The 16786-nt window shown below is 37.3% G+C and overlaps 1 protein-coding gene across 1 annotated transcript in view; it reads left to right on the plus strand.

Moving 5' to 3' along the window:
- The window catches only part of ADGRB3 (adhesion G protein-coupled receptor B3), a 754225-nt gene that overhangs the window by 365516 nt on the left and 371923 nt on the right, over positions 1-16786 (plus strand). Inside the window, exon 12 of the mRNA NM_001704.3 lies at positions 13241-13309. Coding sequence (NP_001695.2) covers positions 13241-13309 — 69 coding nt within the window. The remainder of the gene's footprint in view (positions 1-13240; positions 13310-16786) is intronic.

Raw genomic sequence — 16786 nt, forward strand, 5'->3', positions numbered from 1 at the left:
TTACAAATAAATTTTAACACATAGGTCGATTCAGAAATATAAAATCTGTGAATCATGAAGATTAACTGTTATCCATTTTTCAGGGATATGGTGAGGCTCAGAAATATATAACAGTCCATACATAATATTTGTTTATTACTTGGCACATAGTAAGTACCACATAATACCATTATTGCTAGTATTTTAATTACCAACATAGAAGAAAAACATGAGCCTTGGCCTCAAGCTGCTTATGATATCATTGAAGAAAAAAAAATAACTTGAATGAGGCTATACTGGAGTGATATAAGTATAGCATGTTCCACTTCTATGAATTTTCGAAAGAGGTCTGAACAACAGCAGTAAGTAAAGATGTCATGGTAGAATTAGAACTTAAGATAGAATCTGGAGAAGCAAGTTAGGTACAGAAATACTCAATAATTAAACTATGCAGTCAAAAGTACAGAAATAGTGTAAGAATGGCATGTCCATTAGAAAAACCTTCCTGTCTTTATGATCTGCATTTTCCACCATTCATCCTACTTTGGAAAATATTTTGGAAAATAGGGTGCATGGTGGAAAATGCAGATCATAAAGGCAGGAAAGTTGAGGCCACATAAAAGAGTTTGAACTTGATTCTCTATAAACAGATTTACTAAATATAAAGATTATTTTTAGAAAGATGGTCTGAAAAGGTAAATAACATGGATTGGTGAGTAGAGAAAGAGTGGGGAAGGAGGGGGAATAAGCCCATGGAGGTGCTATGGCAGTGACCTAGATATGAGAAAAGAAGAGAGCGTGTCTTAGTGACAGTGGGTCAGAAAAGAGGAAAGAAACATCTTCATGGAAGGAAAGAAAGGCCCTTGAAACAGTTTAGATTTGGGGGACAAAGAAAGAAAATATTGGAAAAAATACACACATAGAAATGTCCACAGGTCCTCACAGTGTACTGTGTTCCTGAAACTCATCTGAATGCAAGGACCAGTCTCTACCCAGGCATGTTCCTACTCATTGATCACACTTCTGTGGACCTAACAGAAGATCAGTGTTTTCCCAATGTTTTTGACTGTGACTTGCTGTAAAACACACAGTTACATTAACATGCAGTTGAAAACTAGAGTTTTCCAAAATAATATTTACCTCACTCTGTGTAATAATACACTCTGGTATTCTCCATTATTTTTTATTTCATTAAGAAAAATTAATCATGACCTTGAAACAGGTCATTACTCAACATTGGAAAGCTACTTGTTTATCTGATACATCCGCTAGGTTTAAGAAATTTGTTTCTCAATAGCTGAGATTAAATAGGAAGCTCTAACCTTAGTTTTCTGATTTCTTTTTTAAGTTCAGACTATATTCTAAACGAATGATCAGAGGTAGGTGATCAAGGAATTAAATTGAAAGCAGAAGTAGTAATTTCAACAAAACCAAGCATCTTTTATCTTTTTTTTTTTTTTTTTGATGGAGTTTTGCTCTGTCGCCAGGCTGGAGTACAGTGGCATGATCTCGGCTCACTGCAACCTCCGCCTCCCTGGTTCAAGCGATTCTCCTGCCTCAGCCTTTTGAATAGCTGGGACTACAGGTGCATACCACCACGCCTGGCTAATTTTTGTATTTTTAATAGACAAGGGATTTCGCCATGTTGGCCACGATGGTCTTGATCTCCTGACCTCATGATCCACCCACCTTGGCCTCCCAAAGTGCTGGGATTATAGGCATGAACCACTGCGCCCAGCCAAATCTTTTATCTTAAAACACTTGATGAGCAAGCAGATATGTTGCACCATGGATTACTCCCATGCTGATTATCAATAGATTAAGTCACTTGGTGAAGACCTTGGAGTATGGTTTCTCCATTGGTTTTAATGCCAGACACTATTGGCTTTTTTATATTAAAAATTGGGTTGATAAATTTGGAAGCAACTATTAATATGATAATATAATACCCTCATATAATGATAGGCCTCATCTGTAGAGGTAGTATAATTTTGTTGACTAAATAAGATCTGGGAAGGCTTTTCTGGGTTGGAATTACAGTACAACTCTAGCCTTCAAGACACAACCTGATACCTTGAGATCCTCTGCTCAAGAGGCATTGTGTAACCAGAAAGGCTAATAATTTTCTCAAACATCAGTAAGGGAGATAGGGAATGGAAGCAGGGGAGTAGGGTGTGATGAGTAAGAGTACTTGCTCTGACCTTCAAGATGTGGCTTTAACACTTGTTAGCTCTGTGATCCAAGACAAGTTATTCAACCACTCTATGCCTCAATTTTCTATTCAACAATATGGGATAATAGTACTTACCTTATAGGATTCATGTGAGGGTTAAACTTTCTATGTCAAGTACTTACTCAGTACCTGACACCTGGTAGGTCTCAAGAAATGTGGCTATTATTATCATCCAACAAGACAAAAATGGAACAAAAATTTACAGTCCTTAGAGCACAGGTAGCTACTGCCAATGCAGATATGTAATTGGTATCTCTCCTGCCAAGAAAGAAAGGTTGAATGTTTCTCATGGAACCACCTAAGGGAGTGTGGGCACTGCTTTTTTTATTTTTTATTTTTTTCACTTATTATGGAAGAAAAGGGCAGGGAATGTATCAGGGAAAATGGAAACAAAAAAAAGCAGCACTCATCTTTAAGGTCAGCACTGAAGGGCCATTTTGTAGTTAGAGAGCAAGGGGATAAGAAAAATTGCTTCAATCAATAGCCAGGATGCCTGGCTCAGTAGAAAATAAGCCAGGTACAGGACAGTAGCTCCCAGCCAACAATCACTCCAAGTCATCTAAATGGCTGCTGTTTTCAATGCTTAACAGCCTGAGAAGATTTCCTATTGTTTCTCTGTGGTATAGAAAGCCTAACATAACTAGCATCACTTCCTAGATAATATTTAAACCCCGCCCTTATTGTAAACATGACAATAAGAAATTTAATGGCAAATAACTTTCTTAAGTGGGTGAAATATGAAGCAATAGATCTTGCTTCACAACCCAACATGGTTAAATCCTACCGTGAACGAATCTGGAAGATAACTGGTAACTGAGGGGAACTAACAAGCTCCATAGAAGAGCCCGGAGTATGCAACACAACCACGTAGGAAGAGGAAGAGAGGTAAAGTAGTTTTAAGAATGTATGAAGTGCAATGTATCAGCTGGTAAATGCCATGTGCAGTAAATAAATTAGTTTGGTCGAGTTTTTAAAAAATACAATAAAACATGAGACTGCTAGTTTTACCTTTTCCGAAGCTCCTATTATTTTCTTCAGAGTCAAGAAAATATTGAGATTTGCATTAGTAAAAGTTACAGATGGTTTTATGTTGTGATTCCATTTATTATCAAATATTCTACTGTTTTAAAAAGTTTTTATTGAAGAATGTTTTGGTTTATTAGGGCTACCATAACAAATACCACAAACTGAGTGACTTAAACAACAAACATTTATTTTCTCACAGTTCTGGAGGCTAGATCTCCAAGATCGAGGTCACGACAGGTTTGGTTTCTCATGAGGCCTCTCTCTTTGGCTTGTAGATGGCTGCCTTCTCTCTCTGTCTTTTACACATGGTCTTTTTCTCTACACACTTGCATCCCTGGTGTCTCTCTGTGTGTTCTAATATCCTCTTCTTTTTTTTTTTTCTTTATCTTTTATTATACTTTAAGTTCTAGGGTACATGTGCACAACGTGCAGGTTTGTTACGTATGTATACATGTGCCATGTTGGTGTGCTGCACCCATTAACTAGTCATTTACATTAGGTGTTTCTCCTAATGCTATCCCTCCCCCCTCCCCCGACCCCATGACAGGCCCTGGTGTGTGATGTTCCCCACCCTGTGTCCAAGTGTTCTCATTGTTCAGTTCCCACCTATGAGTGAGAACATGCGGTGTTAAGGACACCAGTCAGATTAGATTAGGGCCCACCCTGATTCACTCTTTCTAACTTAATTTCCTTTTTAACAGCCCTATGTCCAAAGACAATCACATCTGAGCTACTGGGTACTAGGACTTTAACATAACGATTTTGGGGTTGGGGGGTGCTGAGATATAGTGAGCCTATAACAAGGAATCTTGAAGGACTATGAGAATTTTCTTTTATTGAAGGGGTCTGTGTCAGTCATCTTTCTTCAGGACTGGACCTGCTGTGACTACTGCCTGTAGTCTTGTAAGGGTCTAAACTTGTGATGTGTGCAGGCTTCTCTCACATGGTGGCCCTTAAGTGTATCAGCCAGGCCTACCAAACTTGAGGGATCACTCATTACCTTATTCCTCACTTAAGAAACATCTCCTTTCTGAACATGATGATGATTTTGTCACACTGAGTTATGATATTTTTATAACATTGGGTGTTCTCCCAGGCTGTCTCTGGGGAAAAAATCATATTTAATGGTGTTAGTATCATTAACTATTTTTACCTTTCATTTTTAAAAGGGGACTGTAGGCAATACTGAGCTCATGCCCCAAAGCACTAAAGATTGGATGACTTATTCTTTCCACTTAGCTTCATCCCATCTAGTATACCTCACAGCAGAATTACTCTGTTGCCTCTTGTTGGAGTCCTTGATCCTAAAGGTAACTCAGAGGTACTGAGAGCGTTGTATAAAAAATTCCCCATCTGAGCTATTCTGAGACTCCACAAGTTAAACTCTCTTACATCATGGCAAAGCAATGAGATTAGTATGAAAGACAATGATTCCTGGAACAATGTTCTTACGCAGTTTTCACAATGAGTCAGAGCTATAAGAAGTCTTTTTTAAAATGTGTTCTTAAAGACTTTTTTCACATGGTCTTTTGTGACCACGTGACTATTACAGGCGTACGCCACCATTCCCGGCCGACCTAGTGAGTATTAGGATATATTAGTTTCAATTATCTGTTCTCACATTCCTTTTGGTCTGGCAGGTTGCAGTGGGAAAGCAAGGACAGACCAGCCCTGCCATCAGAAGCCCTCTGAATACCACTGTCAGGTCAGGTCATCTGGCCTGCTGCAGACCCCACTATTGACCTTGATATCCTTGTCCTTCAGATGTCGCCCTATCTTTTGTCTTCCAGTTTTCCAGTGGCTCAGATTTTTGACTCTAGATCATATTCTTCTTATGCCTTGGTTTCTGAAACCTGCTAGATGGCATCCTGTATTATAATATTCTGCCTTTCTGAATCCTTGTTAGTTTTCAGTTGCCAGTGCTCAATTGATGTGCTGCTTGGATAAACATTCTGGATAAAAGGTCTCAACCATGGTATTGGGCCTCTTGGTCTTGCTTGATTAGGAGTTATTTTGCTTATTCACCTATTACCAAAAAAGTACCTAGAGCACTCTTTAGAGATTACTTACTATTTTTTTTTAAGAGCAAACTCAAGATGATTTCCATAATAATGTTGTTCTTACTTAATTTCATTTCAGTATACTTTCTTGACTAGAATAGGATACTATGAGGTAGAGTTGAAGCCATACACAGGGAATCTGTGATCCCTACTTTAATCTATAATATGGATGTATTCATGGTTTTATGTATCATGCATGCAAATGTTATCAGCCAAGTGCATCAGGGGAAAAAAAAACGAGATCTACTATTAGGTTGATGCAAAAGTAATTGCAGTTTTTAATGGAAAAAAAACCCGCATTTACTTTTGCACCAACCTATACACTGTATTTTGAACACTCTTTGGATTTTTACCTAGTTAAAAGAATGGTCTGTCTCCTCTGGATTAATCTCAGCAGTGGAGAGTCTTTTTTTTTTTCTTTTTTTTTTAAGATGGAGTCTCGCTCTGTCACCCAGGCTGGAGTGCAGTGGCATGATCTTGGCTCACTGTAACCTATGCTTCCTGAGTTCACGCAATTCTCCTGCCTTAGCCTCCTAAGTAGCTGGGATTATAGGTGTGCACCACCATGCCTAGCTAATTTTTTTTTATTTTTAGTAGAGACCGAGTTTCACCATGTTGGCCAGGCTGGTCTTGAACTCCTGACCTCAGGAGATCCACCCACCTAGGCTTTCCAAAGTGCTGGGATGTAAAATTTATATTATTCTGTTACCTGTCTTTCCTGCTTTCTTTCTTACTTCGTCATCTTTTTTTTATTTATTTCTCTTCTTATGAATTTACCTTCAATGTTTTAACCATGACTTCATCCCACTCAGCTCTAGTCATGATAATCTTAAATTTTTTTTTGACTGAAAAGCCTCCAGTTTAATTATTCACAAATTTTTACCTCTTGAGCTATAGGCTTGTAGTTAAACCTGCCCACTGGGTCTCTTTTCTTAGCTATGTTGTTGATCCCTCGTACTCAATTTGAACAAAACAAAGTTCACTTTCTTTTCTCAACACTGCTGCTTCTTATGTGGTAGCATGGCTAACTCATCATTCTCAGCTACCTGGGCTAAGAACGAAAGGCTGACTTTTGATTCTGTGCTTCTCCTCCCATGCAATCTGTCGTCATGTCATTTCTCTAAACCAAGCTGCCATCATCTTTGGCCTCAATAATTAAGACAAACTGAATTCTAACCTTCCTGTTTTTACTCTTACTCTCCTATACTTTATTTTCCACTCAGTGGCCAAAACTAGACTTTGATTTTTAATACAACTCATGTAATAGAACCACTGTGGGATCAAAGCCTCACTTTACCTGACCCCTGTGTATCATTTTCACCCTCTATTAATATTTTCATCCCTTCACCTCACCCAGCCCCCTCTTCAACTCTAGTTACGTTATCTTTCTTTCTGTTTCTCAAACTTGTTCAGACTGTCATTTACCCAGGGAATTTGAACATTCTCTTCCCTTTTCTTCTGGAACTCTCTTCCTCAGGTCTTTGTGTGGCTGTCTCTTTATTATTCTGGTCTCAGTTCAAATGTGACCTTCTTAGAAAGTTCTTTCCTGATGACTATCTAATCTAAAGTAATCTCTCTCTCTCTCTCTCTCTCTCTCTCACACACACACACACACACACACACACACACACACCCTGCTGACCTATTCAGTCTATTCCTATAACCTATTTTGTTTTCGTGTCACTGTCTCAGTCCATTTGTGATGCTATAACAAAATACCTGAGACTGGTTAATTGGTAACGAATAAAAATATATTTCCCACAGTTCTGGAGGCTGGAAAGTCCAACATCAAGGCACTGGTGGCAGGTTCAGTTGTCTAGTGATAGCTGCTCTCTGCTTTCAAGCTGGTCCCTTGTTGCTGCATCCTCTAAGAGGTGAGGAACCCTGCGTCCTAACATAGTGGAAAACAGAAGGGTGTGTTAGCCAAACACCGCAGGAAGCTTCTTTTATAAGGGCAGTAATTCCATTTGCAAGAGAGGAGCCCTCAATGGCATAATTACATTTTAAAGGCCCCAACTCTTAATAACATTACATTGTCAACAGCTGAATTTTGGAGGCATCATATTCAAACTGCTGCAATCACTGTCTGAAATCATCCTTTTAAATGTATTTGCTTACTTTTTCTTCTCTTTACCCACTAGAGCATAAATTCAACGAGGGAAGTAACCCTCATATGTCTTGTTCACTATCATATTCACAGCACTTAGAACAGAACAGCCAAATATAGAGAAGGCATTCAATGACTACTACTTGAATAAAGAAATACATTTCTGCTTAAGTATTTAGTATACCTTTCCTCGTTTTTTCATTTGCACATCCACTGTTCTCCTTTAGGCCTTAATAATCACTATTTTGGACTATTGATAATGATTTCTAGTGATGCCCTTTCTTCATTCTTTTTTCTTGCCAAAGCTCCCTGACTTTACTGTCTGGCTGATATTTTTATAACTTTCTTTATACCATTCCTTTGCTGAACAAAGCAGCACTTGTACTACCAAATGCATCTTGCCAGGAGCAGGGTAAGGGTAGTGATGCATAGGGAGAGTTCCTTGTGTTTGGCATAGGATGAACTGGGTTTTTGAAGTTCGTGGGTTTATGGAAGAAGAGGCCCATTCCTTGCTTGTTGCTGCATGTGAGTTTAAGGACCAGGGTTGAATATCCACAGCTGCTTCCTGTAGTCCTACAACTTCTCAAAAGTATGTATTTGTGCTCAAGGATGATGTTGAGTCTTCAAATGCTGTTGAAAATAAGAAGAGTTCGATCCCATATTTACTCAAGATAACTAGTTTTCTTATCTGTAAAAATAAGTGTCATCTCTTATTCCCTGGACATAAGGAGAGCCCTGGTAACATTAAAATCATCACTGGAAGAGGAGGGTGTTGAATCAAAAAAGAGGCAGGAAATTAGGTATAAACTATTTATTGTTTTCTATTAAAAAAAATCCATGAATGCTTAGCCCATTTCCTTACACACAGTGGGCATGTAATTCATCAGTTTTAAATAGTTGAGTATTTACATGCTGCTGTGCCTGATGTTGTACACTGGGGGCACAAGAGTGAACAAAATAGAAATAACTTGATTATAAACTAGTAGAGGAAAAAACCCTAAACCAATCATCATACAAATAAACCATAACCTTAAAATCCTATATACTTCCAAAAAAGGTCACACAGTACCACGAGAAAAAGAAAATATCAGACTGTATAACTGGGGAGGGGGGAGTGATGATCTCATAAGGCCTTTTGAGGAAATTGCATGTAAATCTGGACATAAAGGATAATAAAAGGTTGTCTGAGTATAGAACAGAAAGAATAGCAGTCCAAGAAAGCAAACAGCATGTAAACAGTTCTACAGGCAGGGCAGAAAAGAGTGTGGGATGCATGAAGAAGTCTAATGAACTTGGAGTACAAATAGAGTATGGGGCAGGATAGCATAAGATAAAGTTGGAGAGACAGGAAGTGGCTGGATCACATATGGCCTTGCAGCCATCAACTAGTTGATCTCTAGGTTGGGGATCAATGATCTATCCTATGTTATGCATCCTTATCCTAATGGCTTATCCCTGCTTCCTTGTTTGTTAAGCCTTTCTGTAGTTCACCCTATATTTCTAGTCAGAGTCACTGTAATTCTTTTAAACCTTCAGATCTACCTTACTAAATCTGACTCTTAGGGCTTGTCTTTGTCCCTTGATGTCCAACCACTTTGCTACTGGTTAAGATGGAGGAGAGCACATTTCCTGTGGCTGAAATTGCTAGCCTAATCTACAACTCTATTTCCATGGAAATAGGAATTCAGCAAAAGCAAAATGCTAAGACATATTTTAGTATATTTATAAAAAATTGTATATAATCCATGAGAAATCTGCCAAGTGGATGCCAGTCAAAAGTAAAAACAGAATTTTTTATTGCTTTCCATAAAATAAAGTGTCCTTTTTGTCTCGTATAGCCAAATCTAGGGCCTCTACTTTGAATGCCACAGAAGGATTTATGCTTATTTTTATAGCATACATTTATTGCCCTGATTTTTGTAATACTTCCGGCAAAGAAAGAATGATCATGCCTCTTTGACCTTTGTGTACCACAACCATTCACCATAATGCCTCTCACATAGTAGGTATCTAATACTAACTTCCCTGAAACCCTCTCCCACCAGAGCACATTCTTAGAAAGAAGAGACTTCTGCTGAACAAATTATGTTCCCCAGAGTTAGTAGTGAATCAGTTCTGTTCTGTACATATTGTTGAGAGAGGAAGAGACATTAAAGAGGATAGAGGAGAATGCTACTGGTTGTGAAAGGCTGTATCAGAATTATAGGTGCGTATTTGCCATAATGCGGCAATGAATACAAATCATGCAGCCAGTCATAAAAAAATATATAACATAAAGGGAATAAAATCATAAAGTTGCCATATATCAAGCACTTGCCATGCATCAGATACTGTGTTAAGAATTAACTCCAAGCTTCACGATAGCTCTGCTAGGTAGCTATTATTACTCTTGTATTACAGATTCAAGATATAAAGCATAGGTGGGCAACATCTGCCCATAACCATACAGTTAATAATTGATGGGGAAAATGTTAAACTGGGTCTGCCTCGTTCAAACTCCAAACAGTTCAGATTCTGCCAAGGACACTCAATTTTTCAAATCAGTCTAGGTCATGGAGATCAAGGCTGACTAAAAAAAAAAAAAAAAATCAAAAAACAAAAAAAAGCAAAAAAATGAGACAAAAACTTACTGTAAGGTGTTGACCTTTTTATTTTAGGGATTGACATAAGTGACCTAATCCATAAATCATCAAAAGAGAACTATTATCACCATTAATGGAGTTTTAAAAGAACACTGGCAAGTAGTGGCTCTGCTACCACAGAAGCAGCTTCATACTTTGAAAAATTCAATCATGCGGCCTGAAATGTCATGAGTCTCCTCTTCAAAGTGCTGTTCTGTTAGGTTTGGTTCTATTTATCAGTCTGATAGTTTAGTAAATGTCAAAGTGAATATATATTCAGTATGTATTAGTATGTGTATATATACATATATATGTGTGTGTGTGTGTGTGTGTGTGTGTGTGTGTATATATATATTCTATATGTGTGAGACAAGTTAGAGCAAGGCCAGCTGAAAGAAATGGTGCTAAATCTTTTTAGGAAAGCTGAGGCGCAAAATGTGGCACATGTACGCTATGGAATATTATGCAGCCATTAAAAAGAATGAAATCATGCCCTGTGCTGCAACATGGATGCAGCTGGAGGCCATTATCCTAAGCAAATTAATGCAGGAACAGAAAACCAAATACTGCATGTTCTCACTTATAAGTGGGAGCTAAATATTGGGTACTCATGCACATAAAAATGGCAAAAATAGACACTGGGGACTAATAGAGTGGGGAGGGAGGGAAGGAGAGGGGAAGGAGCTACAAACCTAACTACTGGCTACTGTGCTTAGTACCTAGGTGATGGAATCATTCATACTCCAAACCTCAGCATCACACAATAAACCCAGGTAACACACCTGCACATGTATCCCCTGAATCTAAAATTAAAGTTGGAAAAATAAAGAAAAAAGAAAGAGAAGCTGAGATATACTGACTTTGCAACTTAAATTTTGTTTTAAATTTAGGACTTTATTAAATATCTGCTATGAGCAAGTCATTATATACACTGAGGATACACTGATGAACAAGAAAGACTTAGTCTCACCATAAATGCTGCCCCACTGCTTGAGACATTCAGACTTAGCTCACTGTGCCCCTACATGGATTTCATTAGTCAGGGCGCTACTACTGATTATTCCAAAGTCTAATCAATAGTGAGAACAAATAACTTTATTCTGTACTGCCTTCCCACTCCGATTTAGTAAAGCCACATTTGTTGGCCTTGAAGAAGAGTACAGAATGCTTGAAGAATAGTACAAAATGCTATGTTTGGTTGGCCCAACATGTATTTTAATAATTTGTGTTTTTTATGTGTGCCCTTTGGTGATTTAAAAAAAGAACTGAACTCTGAATTTATTGTCTTCATCAAGGAATTTTGTGTATGCAGTGGCCTTCATGTACAGCAAGGAGTCACCGACCCACTGTCAGCAAAACATGCTTTGTGAAATGTTTTTTTTTGTTTTTGTTTTGTTTTGTTTTGTTTTCAGAAATGGAGATGCAGTTGCACAAATTGCTTCCTGTTCTCTTGGTGTCTCTTGTTAGCAGCAGCATGCATTTTGTATGAAAGCTGGCAGGGGTTAGAATGCAGACCGAGGTCATGGACCTCAGCACAGCTAACTGGCATGTACAGGGATAAAACCTGCAACTTTTGCCTCATTAGCACCATGTCCCCTACTGAGTTAACCAGTCACAGGCAATTGGAGAACTCTGAAGGTTAATTCTTTCTGACCATAGGTAGAGTTAGAGCTCAATGGACTAAGCCCTTCAAATGTTAACACTTCAAGCAGGAAATTTTAAGTGGAAAAAAATGGCTGGTAGTACAAAAAGGCTGAAAGAATTGAAAAACGGGTCTAAAACAGACTTGCAGGTTTTTTAAGAGTTGCATAAAATATTCTGTAACTTTTATAGAGGTTATGACTCAAACCGTGTTTCAACCATGTGATTGCCAGGTACTATTAAAACAAATAGCACAAATAGGGCAATTAAATATAGATACTAACAGCTTCAAACCACAAGAGAAGAGGAAATTAAGCAGCTTTGTTTTTCATTTAATAGCACCCAGGTGAGCTTCTTTGAAATTAGTGCAAATGCCTGTTTTGAGAAGCTGGATAGGGAGGAAGACTGATGAGACTAACAAGTTATGATTATTTCTGCCCTCAAGGGAGTCCTGGTCCAAGTTAATGTATCAGTATGAAGTAGTGCTACTGCTGACCTACACACAGACAGTCAGACGAGATGGGTTCTGAGAACACAGCCAAGCCACCACTGCCTATGCAACTTAAGATAAACGTCATGCCTTCCCTTTACACTTCTCAGGTCTCCTGTGACCCCCAAGTCACAGCTCGCCTTCAAAGGCACGCTGGTTGTTCTCTCCTGGTTCCTGTGTCTTGATGGCACAGTGTAGTGTGAAGGGAAAGAAAAGTCTCTCTCTGGTAAAAATCCTTCATGTGTGAAATGAGCACTTGCAAAATAGGACTGAACAGAGCCCTGCTCTCTGTCAATGTGTCCATTGTGAATGGAATATGAACATCAAAATGACCTTCCTGCATGAAAGAAAAACCAGAAACCAATGGGCACTGCTAGGCGAAGATAAAGCCAATAGGTCTTTAACAGTTAGAGACAAGAATGATGGCAAGGATGTTATATGTCTATTCATTCTCCCATGTTGGCTTGCTGGCAAAAGGCAGAGGAGTAAAGAGTAATAATTTGAAAACCTGCTCTTAGCATGTGTGATATGTCAGGAACTTAGAAACTTTTATTTAATATTTGCAATTGGTAGTTGTAAAAGTATAATGGCCAGGAAGGGCAGAGTCAAGATTTCAACTGAGGGAGCCTGTCTTGCCTCCACTTTGCCTATAGTCTTACTAGGGTGTTCTTTGAAACAACATTGCAATAACAACCACAACTCACAATTTAACAGGACAACTTGTAATGAAACAAATACAGATGACTTTCATTACAGACGGGATCAAACTTACTTGTATGGAATAATTACACAATGACATTACAGAGTGGAATATAGATACTATAATGGAACAAATAATTTTGAGTGAAAGTGTTTTCCCTATTCTGACCTCCTCTGAGAGTACAAAAATGAAGGTATATGAAAATCCTAGAATTACGGTTCTGTAAAAGGATCCTCAGTGATCTTCTAGAATACTATGTTAGGGTCATAAAGCAATATTGCAAAGTGCTTATACCTTTACCACGTAGTCAACCCAAATGGGTGTTATTAAAAAGTATAATTCTCTCATGTAATATTAAATCTTTTATCTAATTTAATTTACAGAACTTCTTTCAAATAGTTAGCAACCTTCTAGATGAAGAAAACAAGGAAAAATGGGAAGATGCACAACAGGTAAGGTTAGGGTTATTTCAGAACTTGAAGTTGGCAAAACAAAGTGTAAAAAATATGTGACTAAATTAATGGCTTGCTATTTCAGGAAAACAAGATATTTTTAAGTCAGTCTAGGTTATATCCTAGTAATTTTTGAGGAAACAAATGATCGTTACCATACCAGTCTGGAAGGAATATTTATACATGTGAAAAAAAGCTGTGCAAGTTTAAGCAACTTAAAACCTTAAGGATTTAATGTGTAATAATTATATACCTAACCAATAAGTTCCTTTTTTTTTTCTGTAGACCATGGGAAAAACAGCACATCTAAAAGTACATATTTCAAATGAAAGTATGGAGCTTTGACTAGTAAAACCATTTGCATTTACTACAATGCTACATATAATATGGATCACAGAGACAGTGATTTTGATTCAAAGCCAAGAATTGTAAAAATCAGGCCTCACCAAAAATTATGTTATGATTTTTTAAAAATCTTTTTGTTATGCTTTATCAGTGTAGCAAGTAACCTTGTTGGTTTAGATATTGTTTATAAATGCTTTGCATAGCCATTTGTGGTATCCTAACTGATAAGACAGTGACTAATTTGTTTTCCTCTGAATTACAGGAAAAGTGGGTTAGAAGTCTAGAAAGAGAGAAAAATTATGGTTTAAAAAATTAAATGTAAATTTAGTTTAACTGGATGTCAAACTTCTTTAGGTTTTCTATTTGACTCTTGTTAAAAATAAGACAATCTTGAAAAAAAAAGAATGAACATTTACTGAGGTTCGGGTTTTCCCTTTATAATCATATTCTGGGTCTTCAGGAGTAAAGCATGCCTTTTATCCTATTGTGACAGGAGCTCTAAAAATAGTCCAGTGTGGGGCTGCCTCATTATTAGATATAAATTTCATGCATCTGGACATAGCCAGAAAAAAAAACCCTTATTTTAATACTTTAAATCTATTTTTTTCTACCAATTTGAGTTACATATTTGTCCTTGGCTTTCTTCTAGAGGACAGCCTCATTCACTCACTGTAAGAAGATGGTGTCTTTCCTTAGAATACAGCTGCAGAGGCTAAGTACATCTTTCTAGGCTGCTAGAGACTATTAATTATGGATATATTAAGAAGAAATATGTAATATCCTATCTAAAACAAGACTGCAATTTATCAGATGCTGTTATTTACTGTGAGGTCCCAACTTTAACAAATAATGAATGGTGGCAGAACTTCTTGTCAATGAAAAATCCTGAATTCATAATCCATCTATTTCCTTGAGATTTTGAGTTAGCTATATTCTTATATTTAAAATATTTTTTCCAATAATAATGATCCTTAATGCTGTTTTTGAAATAACGATTTGAAGCTGAAAAAACAAAAACAACCCTGTTCTGCAGCTTTTACTAAAAGGCGGTGTCATAAATGCAGCCGTGTGGTGAATGGGTCTCTTGAGTTTGTGGCACAAACGGTGAACTTTGTGGAAATAGATGCTGTTTAAAATCTATCAAAGATAATCCTTGTGAGTCTCCTTATTTTTGAGTAATAGCCTCAACAAAAGTAAATGTAGAACAGACCTCTGTGTACGTTTGGAAAATGAGCTGAGTAAAATGGTGGCTATTGACATTGGAAGTTTTTTGCAAACAAAATTTACTCTTTCGAATAGTCATTTCAGAATTTGTTACCCATCAGTTCCAGTTATGAAGGATAAAACTATGTTTAGATAAAGCATCCTACTAAAAATGTAGTCTACTAAAGTTAAAAAAAAAAACTACATTCTATAGAGCACCACTTTACACCCTACCCATATGGCTGGAGTTAACAAGTCCGGTTTAGTCAAGACAAGTCATTTTAGTCATGTATTATGTTTGATATTTCGTCATTACATTGAAAATTCATATGTCTCTAGAGCAAGAGTGAGCAAACTGCAGCCAGTGAGCCAAATCCAGCTTGAGGCTTATTTTGTTAATCATATTTTGGAATATAGCCACACCCATTCATTTACCTATAATCTATATACGGTCGTTTTGGTGCGACAAGGAAAGAGTTGCATTTACAATAGAGACTTCATGTCCTGCAAAGCCTAAAATGTTTACTATATGCAAACAGAAAAAGTTTGCCAACCTTTTATAACCTGCTCTATAGCATTTGACTACACTTGGAGAAATATAATTAAAAACAAAATCTTTAGCCAACCTAAAAAATCTCTCCACCAAGGTAGAAGGGAAAAAAAACACATTCATTATTTAATAATCAGTAAACCAGAATGTAATGTGCATCATAGCCAATCCACTGCGATTACAAAGACCCTATTACATAGCCAAACAGTGTCCTCAAGGTAAACGGTAACTAGTTCTGAAGAGAACTTAAGAGCACCCTTTGTCACGCATAATTCATCCTAAATTCACTTGGTAATTGGCAGTGACCATCTTGTTACTTAATTGGCCTTATTCAAAGAAAAAATAACCTCCTTATATCTTTATGACTGGAAGTAATTTTGCCACTTGAAGCAAAATTCAAGAGGCCTCTGAAGTTAGGCTTCTACCTTTCACAGAAACTGAGAAAGAGGAGCACTATCTTTTTGTATATTTACCTCTCAAAGAGAGACATTCCTGGATCTTTAAGCTTGTAGGAGACTATTTAGCTTTTAAATAAATTGACATGCATTGCAAAGAGAAAAAGTGCTTACAATTACTAGTTTTCCAAAAGTAAATGTTCTTAGAAAAGGGAGAAGAGAGTGGGGTTGAGGGAGGGAGAGACTCTTCCCTTATTTTCAACACAAAAAAATAAGCCTCTTATTTTACTTTGTATTTATTACACTACACATACTCATATACATATGCACCTACACAAAGATAAGGGGAAAATACAGTAGTAGCAGGAAGCCTTGGTGATAACAAAAATCTTAGGCACATTCTTGAAAGTGGGATGATGGGCTTTCGAAATTCATGTTTAATGACTGAAAATGAAGCTAAGAGACAGGTTTTATCTCCCAAATCTTTCTAAAGTTAAAAATTGGAACTATCTCAGTTATACATGTCTAAGTCTAATATCCATCATTCATGTCTTCAAGTATATGTGAGTAAATATACTGTAGATACTGCCTGATTTTTAGACGGGCACAACCGCAAGCCCCTTTGAAATACACATGTGCCTGCTATCCCTTTCAGCTCTGACTATATGCTTTTCTATTATTCAGAATGCCTTTTCGTCTTCTGCACTAGTCTTTGCGATTACAAAGCAGCTAGAACTCTCTAATCCACTTAATTTTTCATGGCTAGAAAATGCAGTGGTGCTGAATGGCCACAAGAAATTAACCTGACTTCAAAAGATTTTCTGCTCTAAAGTGGTTATATAATGCAGGATGACTTTATAAGCTTTATGGGTTATACACATGAAAATTCATGTGACATTTTCAATAGCCTTTATGTTCCAAACACTATGAACTATTGACACAATCAGGTTGCCAAATAAAAAAACACTCGTCCATTTGTACTGT

The sequence above is a fragment of the Homo sapiens genome, chromosome 6 (genome assembly GCF_000001405.40).
Source record: "Homo sapiens chromosome 6, GRCh38.p14 Primary Assembly".
NCBI lineage: Eukaryota > Metazoa > Chordata > Mammalia > Primates > Hominidae > Homo > Homo sapiens.